This window comes from Homo sapiens, chromosome 2 (assembly GCF_000001405.40).
Source record: "Homo sapiens chromosome 2, GRCh38.p14 Primary Assembly".
Taxonomy (NCBI): domain Eukaryota; kingdom Metazoa; phylum Chordata; class Mammalia; order Primates; family Hominidae; genus Homo; species Homo sapiens.
Window position 1 is genome coordinate 64548021 of NC_000002.12, and position 20780 is coordinate 64568800.

General features: G+C 38.2%; 1 protein-coding gene and 1 long non-coding RNA gene across 20 annotated transcripts in view; one reads left to right on the top strand and one right to left on the bottom strand.

Moving 5' to 3' along the window:
* The window catches only part of AFTPH (aftiphilin), a 68678-nt gene that overhangs the window by 23693 nt on the left and 24205 nt on the right, over positions 1-20780 (top strand). For 10 of the 13 annotated variants that reach the window (NR_164746.1, NR_164747.1, NM_001375969.1 and 7 more), the window contains exons 2-3: positions 3423-5389; positions 19542-19693. Coding sequence is in view for 10 of the 13 variants with exons in the window: in NM_001375969.1 (NP_001362898.1) it covers positions 3455-5389; positions 19542-19693 (2087 nt within the window). In the remaining 3 variants the exon portion in view is untranslated. The remainder of the gene's footprint in view (positions 1-3422; positions 5390-19541; positions 19694-20780) is intronic. The other 3 variants (NR_172363.1, NM_001375973.1, NM_001394996.1) reach the window with 1 other exon arrangement.
* LOC105374773 (uncharacterized) overlaps positions 1-20780 on the bottom strand; it is a 68499-nt gene that overhangs the window by 9280 nt on the left and 38439 nt on the right. For 3 of the 7 annotated variants that reach the window (XR_007086342.1, XR_007086340.1, XR_007086339.1), the window contains 3 exons: positions 17830-17970; positions 9432-14223; positions 3085-3244 (listed from right to left, as the gene is read on the bottom strand). This is a non-coding gene — a long non-coding RNA (uncharacterized LOC105374773). Of the gene's footprint in view, positions 1-3084; positions 3245-9431; positions 14224-17829; positions 17971-20780 lie in introns of those variants that run through there. The other 4 variants (XR_007086343.1, XR_007086341.1, XR_007086347.1 and 1 more) reach the window with 3 other exon arrangements.

The following is a 20780-nucleotide window of genomic DNA, read 5'->3' on the forward strand; positions in this document are numbered from 1 at the left end:
GCTCAAGTAATTCACCCTCCTCAGCCCCCCAAAGTGCTGGGATTACAGGTGTGAGCCACTGCGCCCGGCTGCTTTTAAACTTTAGAAAAAGGGCCGGGCGCGGTGGCTCACGCCTGTAATCCCAGCACTTTGGGAGGCCGAGGCGGGTGGATCATGAGGTCAGGAGATCGAGACCATCCTGGCTAACAAGGTGAAACCCCGTCTCTACTAAAAATACAAAAAATTAGCCGGGCGCGGTGGCGGGCGCCTGTAGTCCCAGCTACTCGGGAGGCTGAGGCAGGAGAATGGCGTGAACCCGGGAAGCGGAGCTTGCAGTGAGCCGAGATTGCGCCACTGCAGTCCGCAGTCAGGCCTGGGCGACAGAGCGAGACTCCGTCTCAAAAAAAGAAAAAAAAAAAAAAAAAAAAAAAAAAAACTTTAGAAAAAGGAATCCTGTAGTTAATGGCTGTATAATATGCTATTGTAGGGATATAGTATAACTTGCCTAAATAATCCCTTTGCAGCATTTTGTTTTAGATTTCCTTAAAAGGAGTTTGCATAGTACAACCATATTGCCTTCTGGAAGGCTTGTAACAATTTACACTCACAAGCAATGTGCATGTGTGCAAGGGTTCCTTTCCCCACATTCTCATTAACAATCGCAAAGTGATTTTAAATAATAGGAACTTCATAATTAGAGGGACATAGTTAGAGGTCAGATTACCTCGTACACTAATTAGAAGGGGTTATCAGGACACTAGGCAAGGGAACAAAATAGGATTTGTGTGTATCTTGTACTTTTTTTTTTCTATTTAAATCAGCAGCAGGAAAGAAGAGTATGGCAGAGCAAAGCAGTTATTTCCTTCTTTATGGTGCTAATTTCGTAAGAAAGATAATTTGAAGTAGATATATTACAATGGAGCCTTTTCCTTTTCTTGTGACTTGCTCATTTCTTCCTGGTAACTCTGAGTGACTGACCAGTCGTTAACCTCAAAGATCCTTTTCAAAATTCTGAAGCCATTCTCCACTAAGCAGCTGTCTGAATGAACTTTGGGAAAGTTACTCACTAGTTGGCTTCATTTTCCTCACCTCTAAATTAAACTATGTGGTTTCTACGGTACCTTCACTCTAAAACTGTGGAAGATCTTAGGAAATTTTATTCTGAGAGAAGTCTAGCTTGCAAAACTGGTTGAATTTTGTAGTAAACATTTTCCTCATGTATCTAACTGGGCAGCTGTGAGTTGTAAGAAGTATCTGTTTATTATTTATGTGCTGGTTTTATTCTAGGACTTTGGCTGTTAGTCCTCCCTTTTTTTTTTTTTTTTTTTTTTTTTTTTTTGAAACCGAGTCTCACTCTGTCACTCAGGCTGGAGTGCTGTGGCACGATCTCGCCTCATTGCAATCTCCACCTCCTGGGTTCAAGTGATTCTCCTGCCTCAGCTTCCTAAGTAGCTGATATTACAGATGTGCACCACCACGCCCGGCTAATTTTTTTATTTTTAGTAGAGGTGGGGTTTCACCGTGTTGGCCAGGCTGGTCTTGAACTCCTGACCTCAAGCAATCTGCCCACCTCAGCCTCCCAAAGTGCTGGGATTATAGGTGGTCCCTTTGCTTGTAATGTTAAATCTGACCTGTGGAACTTTTGACTCCTCAGCACAGAGGAATAGAATAACTCAGGTTTCATTTAAGAATTAAATGTATTAAAAAGAAGCTATTACAAATTAATTAGTATGGGAAGGATTATTCAACAAAAGGGATTAAGACCATTGCTTGGCTGTTGAGAAAAAAAAAATTCACCTTACATTTTTGCTTTACATCATACACCAAAATAAGTTCTAGATGTGTTAAAATTAAATGTTTTTTATTCCCTAAAAGTAGAAGAAAATAAAAGTGAATATTTATTAACTTTTATATGACAGCAAAATAATGAAGAAAGTTGCATAAAACTTTCTTCATCTTCGTGAAAAAATCAATTGATTTGACTTCCTAAAATTAACTTGGGAAAACAGCTTGGCAGTTTCTTATAAAGTTGAGCATGCTACATGACGCAGCATTCACACTCCTGGGTTTATATATTTTAGAGAAATGAAAACATGGGTTCACATAGTAATCTGTACATGAATGTTCATAGCAGTTTTATTTGTAATAGGAAAATACTGGAAACAACCCACATATCCTATATGGAGTGAATGGGTAGACAACCTGTGGTACATCTATACAATGGAATGCTAGTTAGCAATGAAAAAGAGTCAGACCCAGGAGTGGTGATGTGCACCTGTAGTCTCAGCTACCCAGGAGGCTGAGGCAGGAGGATTGCTCAGCCCAAGAAACCAGCCTGGGCAACATAGTGAGACCCTGTCTCTGAAAAAAGAAAAAGAAAAGGAATGAACTGTTGACAAATGCAGCAACATGGATAGCTCTCAAGGGCATTATTAGGCTGAGGGAAAAAGCCAGCTTCAAAGGGTTATGTATTGTGTGATTCTATTTATATATAACATTCTTGATGTAACAAATTATAATGATGTAGAATAGATCGAGGATTAGGGTTTAGGGAAGAGTGTGACTATTAAGAGGTAACATGAGGGAGTTTTTTTTGTGTTGATAGAACAGTTCTTATCCTGATTGTAGTGATGGTCACTCTAATCCACACATATAAAATTTTTAGAACTGTACGCATGCACACACACACACACACACACACACACACACACACACACACACACACACACACAACTGGTGAAATCCAAACAAGGTCTGTACCTGAGTTAATAGTATTGTACTGATGTCAGTTTCCTGGTTTGACCATGTGTTATGGTTATTACCTTATTACTATATTACCATTGGGAGAAGCTAAGTGGAATATACACAAGAACTCTTGTATTTCCAACTTTTTTTGAGTCTTAAACTATTTCAAATTATTAAGTATTTAAAAATTAACTTGGGTCAGAAATAAACATTGAAAAGCCAAGTGAAGAAAATATTTGTAACAATTATTACTGATAAAATTTTGATGCCTTTATTAATATAAAGAACTCATACAAATCCATAAGGCAAGCACTGAATCCTTAATGAATTGAAGGAGAACTTAACAGAATAAGCACTTACCCCAGGAGAGAATTTTGTAGCTGTACTTTTGTAAGTGTATATTCAGAATTATCTGGAATCCCCACATTTCATTAATGTACTACCAGTGCTCTTGGTAACATGTAGTCTAAGAGAACTTTTTTTTTTTCCAGTGCACTATAGCTGTGTAAAGTAATTGCACCTAAGAGAAAAATAGATTAAAAGATACAAAACATCATGCAGGACATGGTCAAGGAAAAAAGGAGACAAAATAGAGCATTGTAAATTTGCATTGTTTTAAAGTAGCTTTGAGAGAATTTTGAAAGATCTTGTTCTATGTAATCTGTCCCCTCCAAAAATTCTTTTTTTCTTTTTTACAGGTGTAAATTAATTATTTGAAAGCAACTGAACAATGGAGCCAGACATCATTCGAATGTACTCTTCATCCCCACCACCATTAGACAATGGAGCAGAGGATGATGATGATGATGAATTTGGGGAATTTGGTGGGTTTTCAGAAGTTAGCCCTTCTGGTGTAGGGTTTGTTGATTTCGATACACCAGATTATACTCGTCCCAAGGAAGAGTTTGTACCTTCAAACCATTTTATGCCAATTCATGAATTCTCAGAAAATGTAGATAGCCTTACAAGCTTTAAGTCCATTAAAAATGGTAATGATAAGGACATCACTGCTGAACTTTCTGCTCCTGTGAAAGGACAGTCTGATGTTTTACTTTCTACCACCAGCAAAGAAATAATTTCATCTGAAATGTTAGCTACTTCCATTGATGGCATGGAAAGACCAGGAAATTTAAATAAAGTAGTGGAGCAGAGACAGAATGTTGGAACACTTGAAAGTTTCTCTCCAGGAGATTTTAGAACTAATATGAATGTTGTTCATCAAAACAAGCAGTTAGAGAGCTGCAATGGTGAAAAGCCTCCTTGTCTGGAGATTCTAACAAATGGGTTTGCAGTGTTGGAAACTGTAAATCCTCAGGGAACAGATGATCTGGACAATGTAGCTGATTCAAAGGGACGGAAGCCTCTTAGCACTCATAGCACTGAGTATAATTTAGACTCTGTACCTAGTCCTGCTGAGGAATTTGCAGATTTTGCCACATTTTCCAAAAAGGAAAGGATACAATTAGAAGAAATAGAATGTGCAGTTTTAAATGATAGAGAAGCACTAACCATTCGGGAAAACAATAAAATTAATAGAGTCAATGAACTGAATTCTGTAAAAGAAGTGGCTTTGGGTAGAAGCTTGGATAACAAAGGAGACACTGATGGAGAGGATCAGGTTTGTGTTTCAGAAATAAGCATAGTGACTAACAGAGGTTTCAGTGTTGAAAAACAAGGCCTTCCAACACTGCAACAGGATGAATTTTTACAGTCAGGTGTTCAGTCAAAGGCTTGGAGTTTGGTAGACTCAGCTGATAATTCAGAAGCCATTAGGAGAGAACAATGTAAAACTGAAGAAAAACTTGACTTACTTACTTCTAAATGTGCTCACCTATGCATGGATTCTGTTAAAACTTCTGATGATGAAGTTGGTTCTCCCAAAGAAGAAAGTAGAAAGTTTACTAATTTCCAAAGCCCAAACATTGACCCCACAGAAGAAAATGATTTGGATGATTCTTTAAGTGTAAAAAATGGTGATAGTAGTAATGACTTTGTGACTTGCAATGATATCAATGAAGATGATTTTGGTGATTTTGGTGACTTTGGCTCTGCCAGTGGCTCAACTCCACCTTTTGTTACTGGTACTCAAGATTCAATGAGTGATGCCACTTTTGAAGAGTCTTCAGAGCACTTTCCACATTTTAGTGAACCAGGTGATGACTTTGGAGAATTTGGGGATATAAATGCTGTTTCTTGCCAAGAGGAGACAATATTAACAAAGTCAGACCTAAAACAGACTTCTGATAATTTATCAGAAGAATGTCAATTGGCAAGAAAATCTAGTGGAACAGGCACTGAACCTGTTGCAAAACTTAAAAATGGGCAAGAAGGTGAGATTGGACATTTTGATTCTGTGCCAAATATTCAGGATGACTGCAATGGTTTTCAAGACTCTGATGATTTTGCAGACTTCAGTTCAGCTGGTCCTAGCCAAGTTGTAGATTGGAATGCTTTTGAGGATGAACAAAAAGATAGTTGTTCTTGGGCTGCTTTTGGAGACCAGCAGGCTACTGAATCTCATCATCGAAAGGAAGCCTGGCAGTCACATAGGACAGATGAAAATATTGATACTCCAGGAACCCCCAAAACGCACAGTGTACCTTCAGCAACTTCCAAAGGAGCAGTTGCTAGTGGCCATTTACAGGAATCAGCCACTTCAGTTCAGGTATTTACTAATTTTCTCTATTTTGTATGATGTATTAATTGTTGTGGAGGCTTCTAATTTCAGCTTTTCAAAAAATATTTTTTCAACTGAGTACTTGTTAAAGGAGTCTCGTTATGATGTATAATGCCTGTCTGATTTGTGGGTTGGTTACATTTTTCACAACCCTTTGGGAAACTACAAATAGTCCTATAGTAAAGCGCAGTAAGATTTTTCTTTATCTCAATGAGTTTCGTTAATATTTACAGATACTCATCAACTTGGATTTTTTGGTGACTATAAATACCATATATGTTAAAAAAAAAAAAAAAAACCCACACTTATTACCTAATTGACGGTTCCAGTCAATCCTTCAGTATTACCCTTTACAGTGATTTTAAAAGAAGGTTAAACTGAGATTTGGATCTTTTTTTTTTTAAGCTTAAGAATAGAATGTTAATTTTTTCCATCAAAGACCTAGGAAATTCAAGTACGGTTTTGATTCCAGGAGAGAACAAGCAGAATTTGAAACCTCATTCTGTGCCAAAGGCTATAGTGAATTGAAGAACAGAAAAACAACTAGAAAAAAGCAAGTTTTTCTTTTTCCTCATAATTTAGCAGCTGCTAAAAGACTTGGGGTGAGGGTATGAGATGAATTAAGGTTTAGTCCTAAAATAAGAAATAACTATAGGTTCACTTATTGTAGTTGTATTTATTTGCCTATACTTTCTTACAAATGTACTTGTTAGCTCTTCCTAGAGAGTAGGTGTGTCAGGGAGAATATTTTTACCCCTTACCTCCTATACATTATCCTTTTTTGATTCAGACTCTTTCAGAAAAGATTCATTAAGATTCACTTTGACCTAAAGTAGCCCCTAGAGGTGTAGCTTGATATCTAGGTTGTTCCCCAGTCCAGAGTTCTACTCTGTGCTAAACTTTACCTTTTTTCAACTCCAGGGGTGTGGAAGAGGGCACTCCCTTGAACCTCACTGCCTTATACTGACAATTGATATATGTAACTAACACCTGATCCACAAGCTTATTTTAAATATACTGTTAATAAACTCAGAATCTACAAACTTTATTTCTCCAGTTATCTTCTGCTAAGAAAACCATTTTCAACTGGAAATCTTTCCAAAGTCTTTGTAATTGAAATACTTATATTTCATTGCCTTGATAACTTTGAGACAGTAAGATATTAGAGAAATTATGGTATTACCAGTTGGTGTGCATAGCTAATCGCTTTTTAGTTGGCTTTTGTGTCAAAGTAGTTTAATTTGCTAATTCAGTTATTACATGGTTTAGCTAATGTGTATTATTCCTATTGAGCAGTTCATTATTTAGGCAGAACCTTGCCATTTTAAACAAGAAGTGAACTAATTATGATGCTAAATGAGGACTGTTGCTTTTGACCTAACCCTTTCCCTATTTAGTTTCATCTCACTAGAGGATAGGGTGACACTGGTATTGGGTGATCTTTAATTTGTAGCCTTAGAACTTTTAACATCATCAGATAATGAATTTTTTAAAGTGTGACCACTCAAGTAGGAATTTCTTGCATCATACAAGTTGATTGAAGTTATTTATGTATAATTTGATAACTGGATATAGGAGATAATAAAGCGTATGGGCTTCATGGAATCTGACAGATCTGAGTTTGAATTTTGACCCAGCCTCTTAAAAAGCCTTATGATTTTTGGATAGGTTACTTCTGAATTCAGCTGTATATACAAAGAAGGTAATACCTACTTCAAAGAACTTTTGTGAATATAAAAGGAAATTTTAAAATGAGTGAAATAATCTGCTAGAAAATAAGAATTTTATAGTATGATTCTTTTTTTTATAAAAATAAAACAAACTATAGATGGGGCAAGATGCATTAAGAGTTTCTGAGACCAGGTGCAGTGGCTCATGCCTGTAATCACAGCACTTTGGGAGGCTGAAGTGGGTGGATCACTTGAGGTCAGGAGTTCTAGCCCTGCCTGGCCAACATGGTGAGACCCTGTCTCTACTAAAAATACAAAAATTAGCTGGGCGTGGTGACGTGCATCTGTAATCCCAGCTACTCAGGAGGCTGAGACAGGAGAATAACTTGAACCCAGCAGGTGGAGGTTGCAGTGAGCCGAGATCACACCACTGCATTTCAGGCTAGGCTACAGAGAGAGACTGTCACACACACACACACACACACACACACACACACACACACACACAAGACTTTCTTGGATTTGTTTGGCTAAGGCCTCATGCTTCTATTTTTGCTAATGGGTTATGGAAAATGAACAGAATTTGGATGTTGGGAAAGAGAAACTGCTGGAGGAGGCCAGAAGAAGTTTGGGAAGAAAGTTGAAGTAGTGAAATGGATAAACCCTGCTGAGTAAGTGACTGAGTCAGAAGTGGAGAAAGATTGAACAAAGACTCTCGTTCTTACCCTGCTGTTGTGAAAGAGAATTGCGGCTGGCACTTTATTTCTTGGGCTTCAGATTCTGCTAGAAGAGTGCATTAATTTAGCCCTTTTGGAGAGGATTAGATTTATTAGTATTTTTCTTAAAATGTTTTCCCTAGTTGCTCCGGACAGTGTTTGGAACAGCACGAATTCCTCACTTTTTTTTTTTTTTTGGAGACAGAATCTTGCTCTGTCACCCAGGCTGGAGTGCAGTGGCACGATCTCAGCTCACTGCAGCCTCCGCCTCCCGGGTTCAAGCAGTTCTCCTGCCTCAGCCTCCCTAGTAGCTGGGACTACAGGCCCATGCCACCACGCCCGGCTAATTTTTGTACTTTTATTGGAGATGAAGTGTCACCATATTGGCCAGGCTGGTCTCGAACTCCTGACCTCAGGTGATCCACCCGGCTCGGCCTCCCAAAGTGCTGGGATTACAGGCGTGAGCCACCGTGCCTAGCCTCCTCACATATTAATAACAGTAAGCATTAAGTTTTTTAGTGGTAAAAGTTGAAATGATTTATTTCTGTTCAATCTTACCCGGATGCCACAAGTGTCCTGAACAAAATGCCATCAAGTGGTTTTGTCCGAATTTTGCTTTGACAGAACGTGTTTTAGAATTCAGAGCTTAATTAAACAAACATGGCAATTTGATTTAATTTGTTTGATTAAACAAGCATGGAAAACAAATCTTTGTTTTGTGAAGTCAGACAAATGGTATAGTTGGTCATTTCAGATTTCTTCCACTTTTCACTATTTGGTATGTGACATTGTCCAGGTCCCCATTTCTTAGCACTTTCCTGTTTTTAGCCCACCAAAAAGATATCTTAAAATGTTAATAAATATGTCTTCGTTGGGGTTAGTGCAATAATTTGTTACTTAGGTAGCGAAAAGTCAAGCAAGAATTCTTGCAAAATTAAAAAAATGTTCGTAGTCTAATTCTCAGCTGTGGGTCCAGCCAGTCTCAGAGGGTTCAAGCTTTGATGTAAAAGCCATATATGAACATTATTGAGAAATAGATATCTTGTCCCTTCGGTGAATAATTTTTTCTGAGAACCTGAAGTTTAGTATATTTCATTCTTTTGTTAACATTTGTATAAATTGTAGAGAAGGTAAGTAGTGGTATCTCCATTATACGAATGAGAACGAGGTCTTCACTTTTTGGCTAAAGATTTAAAACAACAAAATGCAACAACAACAACAAAACCTTCCTTACATTTCAAAGCAGTCCTTTTTTATGAGTGTTATTTTAACAATTTTTTTTTCTGTCCTGGGAAGCCAGGAAATTTTTTTTTAACTTTTTTGTTTCAGAAAGAAATCTTGATTGAAATAACCAAAATGCCTTGTTTGATAGCTACATGATAAAAGAGGTAATGAATGTCATAAGCACTGCATTTACCCCTGAGCTTTTGTAAAATTTTAAAATATTGTTCTGGATATCATTTAGAAATTTAGGTAATTGGTAAGTAATCTGTTTATATTAATTGGGTATAGAAAAGGAGGCTATGAGTTATTTTTTATTAGACATCCAATTGATAATGCTACAGGGAAAATGCTGTTAGCTGAAGATTTGTTTTGAGAGCTTTGAAAGTCAAGTGCCACCAAAAAGAAGAGAATTACTAATACCTTGGCTTGTGTTAGTTCAAGATTAAGTTACTGGTTTGTTTTGTTTTTGAGACGGAATCTTGCTCTGTCGCCCAGGCTGGAGTGCAGGTGCAATCTCGGCTCACTGCAGCCTATGCCTCCTGAGTTCAAGCGAGTCTCGTGCCTCAGCCTCCCAAGTAGCTGTGATTACAGGCATAGAAACTCAGTGTTCTTAAACTGAATATAACCAGTCCTACCTTTTCATCTTCACTTATTTAGTCATCTAGCTAATATTTATGCAGGTTTTCCATCCTGTGAACACTGGAACATACAACTGAAAACAGAAGTAAGCAACAAAATAAGAGAATTAAGATGTAAGACTTTAGCTTTCCTTATAGATCTTTCCTTATTTAACTATTTCGATAGAATTTCCTTTTGCTATTTTTTCCTCAGAAAATTTGACTATCTGGTGTTTAATTTCAAAATAGAAATGCTTTATTAGATTTATTCAGAAACTGTACAGAAGGGAAAAATCATGTTTAGATCTGGTGAATATTACAGCTGGTCACTCTTTATACAGCTTGAAATTGGGGATTGGTAAGTATACAGTTGTAGATTGTACTTGATAGCTTACTTAATATTTAATGGTGCTGCAGCATAAGATATCCTCTTAAATGGAAGATTAAATTACCCAGTGGATTTTAATGTTTCTTCTAAACTTCTACTTGAGTGTGAAACCTAATGTTATCAATATTAAAACTATTGATATTAATCAACTCCTGTCCCTAAGCAAGAAAGGAAAACTAACTGGAAATAAGTTGAAGGAATATCAAGAGTTACCTTAAATATAAAATACTTAAGTCATTACTTAATATCCTTGATAGGGTCTTGGAAACTGCAACTTTAAGTGAAAGGACATATAACAAAACCAATTTTACCATAGGCTAACTGATATAAACAAGAGTTAAGTTTCTATGGCATCTTTCTGGTCACAGAAACATCACTGAACCTCTAAATAAAGACACAAAGCACTTCTAATATTAAACATTGAAATAAATGTGAGCTATGCTCACATTTAAGAAAGATTACAAAGAACAAGAAACATAATTACTTACCCAGTTTTTGGTGAATCAGTGAGTGACATCACTCATAGTGGTGCTGGGTAAAATCAAGGGATAAACGTTTGCAAAGCAAAAATGATCTAAGGAGCACCTCCTACCACCATACAATTCAAAAACAATCACAAATCTGGCAGGCTCACTGGGCACTTTCATACTGCATAATTTATTGCTGTGCATTTGTATGATTATTGTAGACTTCACGAATGTTTACTTTGTAATTTATTCTTTTTGCAATCTACTTATTCCAGCTCAGGGTCATCAGTGGCCGAAGCCTATCCCTCCAGCTCAGGGTACAAGGCTGAAACTATTCCTGGCCTGAATGCCATTCCATTGCAGGGCACACTCACACACACATACCAGCACTTACTCAGACTGGAACAATTTAGACAATCTAATGTACACATCTTTAGGATCTATAAGGAAACTGGCATACCCAGAAAAAAAACCCAGGTGGACATACGGAAAATGTGCAAACTCCACACAGGTAGTGGCTGCAGCCAGGAATCAGTTGTTTTTCTCATCAACATTACAACAAAATGACATTATTCAAGGACCTGCTGTCCTTTAAAGGAGATAGGCATTTGAATGGCATAAGAACCAGAGTCTGGGGTCCTGTGTACACCTCTCTGGAAAGCTAAATGAGACTTGCAATACACTTAATCTCTTTATGCCCAGATGTAGTCATTTATAAAATAGAGGTGTATTAGAGTTCTCCAGATAAACAGAACCAATAGGGTATGTGTGGAGGTTAGGGAGGGAAGGATGGGGAGGGGAAGTAGAAGTGGAGGTAGTAGAGAGAGAGAGATTGATTATTGGAAATTGAGAAGTTCCAAAAGCCACAGTGCATAAGCTGGAGACCCAAGAGCTGATGGTGTAGTTCCAGTCTGAGTCCAAAGCCCTAAGAACCAGGAGAGCAGTGGTGTAAGTTCCAGCCCAGGAGCCAGCAGGCTTAAGATCTAAGAAGAGCTGATTTTTTAGCTCAAGTCCAACTGAAGTACCAACTCAAAATCAGGCAGAAGTTCCTTAGCATTTTTGTTCTATTCAGGTCTTCAGCTGATTGGATGAGGCCTACCCACATTAGGGAGGGCAATCTGCTTTAGTCAGATTACCAATTCAAATCTTAATCTCATCTAGAAACACCCTCACAGGTACTCCCAGAATAACATGTTTTCGCGTTCTTTGGTTTGTTTTTGAGACAGGGTCCCATTCCGTTGCCCAGCCTGGAGTGTAGTGGCATGGTCTCTGCTCACTGCAGCCTTCACCTCTTGGTTTCAAGCAGTCCTCCCACCTCAGCCTCTCTAGTAGCTGAGACTACAGGTGTGTGCGACCACACCTGGCTAATTTTTGTATTTTTTATAGAAATGGGATTTTGCCATGTTGCCCAGATGGTCTCCAACTCCTGGGCTCAAGCAATCTGCCTGCCTCTGCCTCCTAGAGTGCTGGGATTATAGGCATGAGCCACCATGCTCCGCCCCAGAATAATGTTTGACCAAATGTCTGGGCACCCCATGGCCCAGTCAAGTTGACACATAAATTTAACCATCACAAGAGGGAACACCTTACATCCATATATAGCTTTCAGGATTTATGGAAGACTGGAACCTGTTTGTGACTAAAACGTGCCAGTCGAGAAGCTCTGCATTAGATTAAATGGCTTACTTGCACCAGTGGATAAAGTGAAATGGCTGCTTATATACCCTGGGACTTTCTTCCACTACCCCGAGACATAAAGACATGACAGAACTAGGAATGAGTAAAAGTTGTCAATTCATACATGAAGCTTTGCCCCACTGATGAATTAAACCATTGGGTAATCATTTTTTGCTTTTCCAGAAACCAAATCTGGTTTAAAAAATAATAATAATTATAAAGACATTCAAGGTAATGAAGGACCCTGATAGGAAAATGAATATACAAGAAATGAGAAAATTGGGAAAGAGGGAAAAGCTAAAAAAGCAAATGTACCTTTGAAGATGTGGTGTAGCCAAGGATGCATACGACTTTCCTGAGCCCTTTCTCCATAAAATGTGTTTTTTGGTTAACAGGAAGTAATAGGGAGGGGCCGGGCATGGTGGCTCATGCCTGTAATCCCAGCACTTTGGGAGGCCAAGGCGGATGGATCACTTGAGGTCAGGAGTTTGAGACCAGCCTGGCCAACATGGTGAAACCCCATCTCTACTAAAACTACAAAAGTTAGCTAGGCATGGTGGTGTGCGGCTGTAATTTGAGCTATTCGGGAGGCTGAGGCAGGAGAATCACTTGAACCCAGGAGACGAAGGTTGCAGTGACCCGAGATCGTACCACTGCACTCCATCCTGAGTGACAGAGCGAAACTCCATCTTGGGGGAGGAAAAAAAAGAAAGTAATAGGGAGGCAAATCAGAATTTGTGTGGGAGTACCCCCTAGTTCTGGCTCTTGTTAGTATACTCAACCTGTCAGGCTATTCTGAGAGCGAAAGCTCCTGCTTTGGGCTAGTTTCCATTCAGAATGGTTTTTGATAGGTATGAACTAGTCTAAGCACAAGTATACTTCTGTGTAAGTAGCATAGCTCCTCTACTTGGCTTCATAGCATTGGACATTAATAGAGAAAATGAAAAAGGAGGGTATGGTACCTGCCTTGAATAGCATTTGATTTTTAATCCTACATTTATCAGAGCCCCAGTTTTTAAAATGTTTAATAGCCAGATGTGCTGTTTGCCAGGCTTAGAAGTTGGTACTTCTGTGAATGAAAAGGTGTGACTGAGTCACATAAACTGGTATTCAGCTAGCCAGTCATCAGTTTATTCCATATTCAAGGGAAAACCAAGGACTGTTTTTCCTCTTTATACTTTGAAGATGATGGCATTTAAAATTCAAGTAATTGGGGCTGGGTGTGGTGGCCCACATGTGAAATCCTAGTGCTTTGGGAGGCCAAGGCAGGAGGATTGCTTGAAAGGAGGAGTTCAAGACCAGCCTTGGCAACATAGTGAGACGCCATCTCTACAAAAAATAAAAAATAAAAATTAGCCAGGCCTGGTGGTGTTCACCTGTGGTCCTAGCTACCCAGGAGGTTGTGACAGGATCACTCGAGCCCAGAAGTTCAAGGCTGCAGTGAGCTGTGATGGCACCACTGCGCTGAAGCCTGAATGAGCGAGTGAGACCATCTCTTAAAAAGAAAAAAAAAATCAAGTAATTGCTGTAACTATTATTTTGATTTGACGTTTAGTATTGTAACATCAGCTAAATATTTAGTATGCTAAGTGTGCATTTATTTGTTACCTTCATATTCAGAATGCAGCACTGACTCTTTAGTAAGAATTAACAACTAACTTTGTTGAAAACAATGAATTGTAGTGTTAGATGAAATCATTTGCTTTAAGCATAGTTATCACCGCACCATTTAACAGGTAAATCCCTTATCTAATTATGGCTAGAAATGTTTGAAAGACCACAAAATGTGGGGAAAAACATGATTTAGTGAAAAGAATGTAGGCTTTGGAGTCAGACTTTGGATCAAATATCTGCTGTGTACTATACCACCAGTAAGGCTATGGTACTTACCTGAATCTTCCTGAACTATAGTTTCTTCATCTGTAATATGAAGACAGTAATACTTCTGGAGTTTCTTTTAGAAGATTCATGGAGTAATACATGTAGAGCGTCAAGCATAATATGGTATATGGGAGACAAGATTTGGCTATTTTATGTCTTGTAATTATTTAAATATGCCCAACCTGTGTATAAAAATGATTTAGATGGCTTACAGTAAGATATACTTTTATAAGTAGAACAATTATGCCCCCTGCAGTCCTAAATGAAGGCGAAGTGCTTTTTTTTTTTTTTTTAATCTGGTGCACATTAATACCAACTATGTGCAGGAACCCAGGTACTGGAAATTCAAGAAAAAGACATAGTCCCTGCCCTCAAAGCTCTTGCAATTTTTAGAAATTGAACTTAGAACTGCTTTGATGACAACATAATATAGTGGTTAAGAGCACCTACACTGAAACTATACTTCCTGGGTAGGAACTCAGCCTCTCCACTTAATATTCATGTGACCACAGGGAAGTTAACCTCTTTCTGCTCTGCTTTTCTCATCCAGGAAATGGAGATGATATTATTACCTCCCTCATATGGTTCTTTTGAAACTTAAATGAGCTAAACTTTGTAAAGCATTTAGAATAATGTCTGCCACATGGTGGGCACTATGTGAGCATTAAATGAAAATTATGTTACATGATAGCAAGCTTTTGCAGCTTCTGAGTAGGTTTCAGAGTACATCTTTTGATCTTTTGCTGAATTTAGGCTCCCACTTTCCTGAACTGGGTTAAAATGATATTGTTTGCTTTACTTATACTGCCTTACGTGCCTAAGGAAACTAGAGCTCAGCCAGTGTCACTTCACCAATTCTAAATAATAAAGTATCTATTTTTTGGAATTTTACATCTAATTCAAGTCCACACGTACTGTAATATGTTAGTAAATGTCACTGTTTGATGCAACCTTTTTCTGCATTAATCTGCTACAGGGAGTTTGAAGATTTGTGTTGTGCCCCCACCTAATCAAAACCAGTAGATTTCCCATTATGGCTGCATATACTCTGTATTGAAATAGGAGTTCACATAAGCAGAGTAATATAAGCAAAGTTCCTTTGTACTCATAAGAAGAAATCCAAGTTTAATATTTTACTTTAACTAGAGTTTTGATGTGATACTGAATTTTACTACTGATTTATTTGCATATGTTAAACTATCCTTGGCTGATGTTGAGAGGATGATTGTATTGTAAAACAGATGAAAATAATATATGTACCCCCAAAAAATTTTTGAAAAACAAATTTGAAACCTTTGCCACTCTCACAGTTTTGATACACCTTTTATCCCAAGTGCTCAAATTTTATGTTCAAAATAGCAATGATTTCTTTAAAAAATTAGTGTCTGATCACAATCTGTTTGGGAAAATCTATTTCCTGAAAAAAACCTGTCTGGTCATAAGAGAAACTGTTCTTGTGGTAGGTTATTTTAACTTCTCTTCTTCTGAGTATTACATTAGTTATATTCTTGTAACTGTTCTACTTACCAAGTTATTTGGACTATGTTACATCACATTTTTGAATGTTTAACTTTATTGTGCTTCTTGGAAAGCAAAGTACTCTTTTTGAGATGGAGTCTTGCACCTCTGCCTCCCAGGTTCAAGTGATTCTCTTTGCCTGGGCCTCCCCAAGTAGCTGGGATTACAGGCACCAGCCACCACGCCCAGCTAATTTTTTTGTACTTTTAGTAGAGACACGGTTTCACAATGTTGGTCAGGCTGGTCTCGAACTCCTGACCTTGTGATCTGCCTGCCTCGGCCTCCCAAAGTGCTGGAATTACAGGCATGAGCCACCGCGCCCAGCTGAGAAGCAAAGTATTCTTAATGCCTAATGTGTGGTTTATACATTTTGTGTTTCATAATGCAATCAAGATTTAAGTCATAATGCCTGTAAGCCAACCACCAATATCCAAAATTTAAACTCTACAAGGAGTAACTATAGCAGGTTTCATTTATATAAGAGACTCTTAAAAATAGATACTCTTAAAAACTAGGTACTTTTTTTTCCCCCAACTCAATAGGATGACCTTGGGAAGGATGCAGAATGCTTAGATTATTTAATTTCTTGTTATATCATAATATGGTAGAAATTGATAAATTGAGATAAGTATTTTCATAGTGATTTAGAATGCTAAATCATGGTAGAGAAACATTCTTAGTGAGCTTTGATTCTAGTTTTGCCATTCATTTATTTCATTCCCTGGCAAGCCCCCTGTGTCTGTATGTATCATTTGTATAATAACAGTAGTAATGATAAAAGCTGCCACCTCTGACACCCTCGGTGCCAAATATTTAATCCTCTGAATTATCATCCACCTCGTGAGGTAGATAGACCCTGATATCTCCAGATTATAAATGCAGAAACTGGGCAGAAATGGTGGTAGACGCCTATAATCCCAGTTACTTGGGAGGCTAAGGCAGCAGAATCGCTTGAACCTGAGAGGCCAAGGTTGCAGTGAGCCGAGATCGCACCACTGCACTCCAGCCTCGGTGACAGAGTAAGACTCCATCTCAAAAAAATAAAAAATAAAAAATAAAATAAATAAATGCAGAAACTGGAGTCTTGGCCCCTGGATCTATAGCCCTCTATTGAAGTGTTATTATACCAGTCATTTACTTACTGGAATTAACTAGTAGTAAGTTAAATTTGGCCTTATTTATTACCCAAAACAAGATAGTGGTGAGAAACTCATTACAGGATGCCCTTACCACCAAACTGGTCTTATGGAAATTGATACACTTTTTTTTTTTTTTTAAGACCAAGTCTTGCTCTGTCACCCAGGCTGGACTACAGTGGCATGATCTCAGCTCACTGCCACCTCCACCTCTCCTGGTTCAAGTGATTCTCATGCCTCAACCTCCTGAGTAGCTGGGACTACAGGCGTGCGCCACCATGCCCTGCTAATTTTTGTATTTTTAGTAGAGACGGGGTTTCACCATGTTGGCCAGGCTGGTTTCAAACTCCTGAGCTCAAGCAATCCACCCGCCTCGGCTTCCCAAAGTGCTGGGATTACAGGCGTGAGACACTGCACCTGGCTGGAAATTGATACACTTTTAAAAATAAAATGTCAGAGTAAATTTAATAAAAATATTTGGGCTGGGCGCAGTGGCTCACACCTGTAACCCCAGCACTTTGGGAGACCGAGGTGGGTGGATCACGAGGTCAGGAGATGGAGACCATCCTGGCTAACATGGTGAAACACCGTCTACTAAAAATACAAAAAATTAGCTGGGCGCGGTGGTGGGCACCTGTAGTCCCAGCTACTCGGGAGGCTGAGGCAGGAGAATGACGTGAACCTGGGAGGCAGAGCTTGCAGTGAGCCGAGATTGCACCACTAAACTCCAACCTGGGTGACAGAGCGAGACTCTATCTCAAAAAAAAAAAAAAAAAAAGCCTTTGTTCATTCTATTAGTTGCTGAATTGTTGAGGAGTTTCCCTCCCTGTGTTGGGCAATGCTGTTAGTGGATTCTGGTTATTTATTATTTACTGCTCTACCTCAAGGGGCAAACCATGACCCACAGGACAAATCTACTGCCTGTTTTTGTAAATAAGTTTCACTGGAACATACCCATGCTTATTCCTTTACATATGGCCTACAAGGCCTAACATATTTACTGTCTGGCTCTCTATAGAAAAGATTGCTAATCTCCTGCTCTATCTTATTCAACGTAAGATTTGAAGCAATCTAATGTAATATCTGATCCTAAACATATATGAAACTTTCTTTAGAAATTTCCATTCAACTTACATCCTTTTTTGCCTCAGCTTCATTCCACTCATTTGAGAATTTTACTGGTGTCTTGACACCTGGCAGTTATGTGTAACATTGCCCAAGTGGTTGGATGTGTTTTAGGGTCATTTCTTTCTTCCTGTGGTAAACATTTTTTTCCTATCCCATTAAAAAGATAACAAAGAGGATACAAGAAAGATTTAATTTACAGAGAAATAAAATTTGGCCATGTTAGTTTTTTGTTTACCTTCCCTGCCCAGGAGGAGCCAATCATGTATCCAATTAGGTGGTTATCTGATCCCTTTGAAAATAATGTCTGTCCGTTCTCTCTGTTGAGGCAAGTGAGAGCAAGGGCCCCTTGATGCACTCAAGTTTCACAGGCCTTGGGATCTTGAGGCTACCCTTTACTTAGGGTTCATAATTGATAGTGAGAACCTTTTCCAATATCACACACATGAATATAATTATGATGTGAGAATAACTTTTGTAGAATTACAAAAGAGTACCCTAAGACTAATTATGCAGTGTTAAGTTTTTGCTCTGATACAGCTTCCAAAAGAGATTTGGGTTCAGAAAATGTTATGAAATTTTTTTTTTTAATTTTCCTGGGTGCTCACTACACTACAAAACAGAAATCAAGCATCAACTTGTTTTTGTTACTTGGCAGGAAGTACCACCATGATGTGGCATTTTGCTTTTACAGTCTGTGTCAATTCAATAGTAAACTTAATCTTACAACAGGCTTTAACTTAATAACAATTTGTATTCCCAGTTGATGTTTAAATGGTAAATTGGGCTAAGTTGGAAAATATATTACATGTATCTGAAATAGTTAGGAAAATAGGAATGAATGTTATTGTAGGTTGCACATGTATAGTAAACCTAGTGGTACCAAAACTAAGTTGATCTAAATCCAGCAAGTTTTAGTTAATAAAAATACTTTAAAAAAAAAAAGCCAAGAAATGTATCTGTTTGTTCTTGGTGGAAATACTCTGGGGAATATGCAGGCTTTACTTGGGAGAGAGGTAGTGTAGTATTCTATTCAAAAATATACATGCAACAAAGACGAGTAGAGAAATGGAATTTCTAAAAGATAATGCATATCACCAAAATGATGAATGAGCTTTCGAATTTTTTATCAGTAAAAATTGAGACATTCTTTGCTACTTTGGTTTGTACTGTTAGCAGCAAAGATATTTCCAAAAGGCTATCAAAATTCATGTTTATGTTCAAAAAAAGATTGTTTAGCTATAATAGCATAATACTTCCCACAAGCATCCAATCTTATTGTTCCTAAATCTAGAGTAGATGAGTGGTAGTAAGAGACATTCCAGTGTGGTGGAAAGAATATAAATGCTCTCTGGGTTTTTTTGGTTTTGCTTTGGGCAGATTATTCAGACATTGAGATTGCTTTCTCACTGTACAATTGGGTAATTTCTTTTTTGTAGAATTTTGTAATAGATTAAGATAATGCATGTAAAGTAGCAGGTATATTGCTTGGCATGTTGCTTTTAATTGCCAGCTACGTAGCTCATCATCATCATTTAAATTAATCATTTAGAGTGATTGTTTCATGAGTAGTTGTGTTCTTTTCACTCAGTGTTTTCTGATGGTTCTCTTCCTCTCTCACAGTAGTGGACAGGGTGTGCGTGTGTTTGCATTTTAATGCTATAACTATGATATTATCAAAATTAAATGAAAATAAACTTTTGGGGGGTGTTTTGATGCAGACAGCTTTATTAAACCGCCTGGAGCGAATTTTCGAAGCATGTTTTCCTTCCATACTTGTCCCTGATGCTGAAGAGGAAGTTACTTCCCTGAAGCACTTGCTGGAAACAAGCACTTTGCCAATAAAAACGAGAGAGGCCTTACCTGAAAGTGGGTAAGTAGGAGACTGTTTTTAGATAGCATGTGTTTTTGTTATTTTTAGTAGTTCTAATTTATAAGTTTATCTTAAAACATTAAGGTTCAGGCCAGGCGCAGTGGATCACCTGAGGTCAGGAGTTTGAGACCAGCCTAGCCAACATGGTGAAACCCTGTCTCTACTAAAAATACAGAAAATTAGCAGGGTATGGTGGCACATGCCTGTAATCCCAGCTACTTGGGATTGAGGTTGAGGCACAAGAATCGCTGGAACCCAGAAGACGGAGGTTGCAGTGAGCCAAGATCACTGCACTCCAGCCTCAGTGACAGAACAAGGCTCTATCTCCAAAAAAAAAAAAATTAAGGCTCAAAAACATTGTGTCAAAACCTAAACTCCCTGCCTTTTTACTTTTGAGCTATTTCTTTTTATATTTCTAAATCAATAATCAGTTGATGTTATATATTATTTTTTGACTTCTTAGAATGAAAACTGAAAATTTAGATTTTACCTCTGCTATTCTCCTCCCCTCATCTTCCCCATATATCAGTTTTTGGTTAATTTCTTATTTGGCATTTTCATTATTATAATCACGTATGTATTGTTGACTCAAGCCACTGTTTTCTTTATAGTACAACTTCTTCCTGGACTTCTCTTTTTCATTAATGTTTCCCTACCCTTTAAGAGCTTGTTCATACACTTGTGATCCAACACCTTATCATTCTGCTCCCATCTAGAATGGTTTCAGTCTGGGCTTACACATACATTGCCTCGGGACTTCCCTTCACTTAGATCCCATTTTGGTGGAGCATATCCTCCAATAGCCTTCTGAGAAAAAAGGTAGATGGGAGGCAAATTTTTACTCTACTCTCACATTCAATTTATAGTTTAAGATCTGTTTGTTGCTGATATTCTGAAATTTCACAGTGAAATACCTTTTTTTCTTTGAGACAGTCTCGCTCTGTTGCCCAGGCTGGAGTGATCTCAGCTCACTGCAACCTCTGCCTCCTGGGTTCAAGCAGTTCTCCTGCCTCAGCCTCCCGAGTAGCTGGGATTACAGGCACCCAGCACCATGCCTGGCTAATTTTTTGTATTTTTTAGTAGAGAT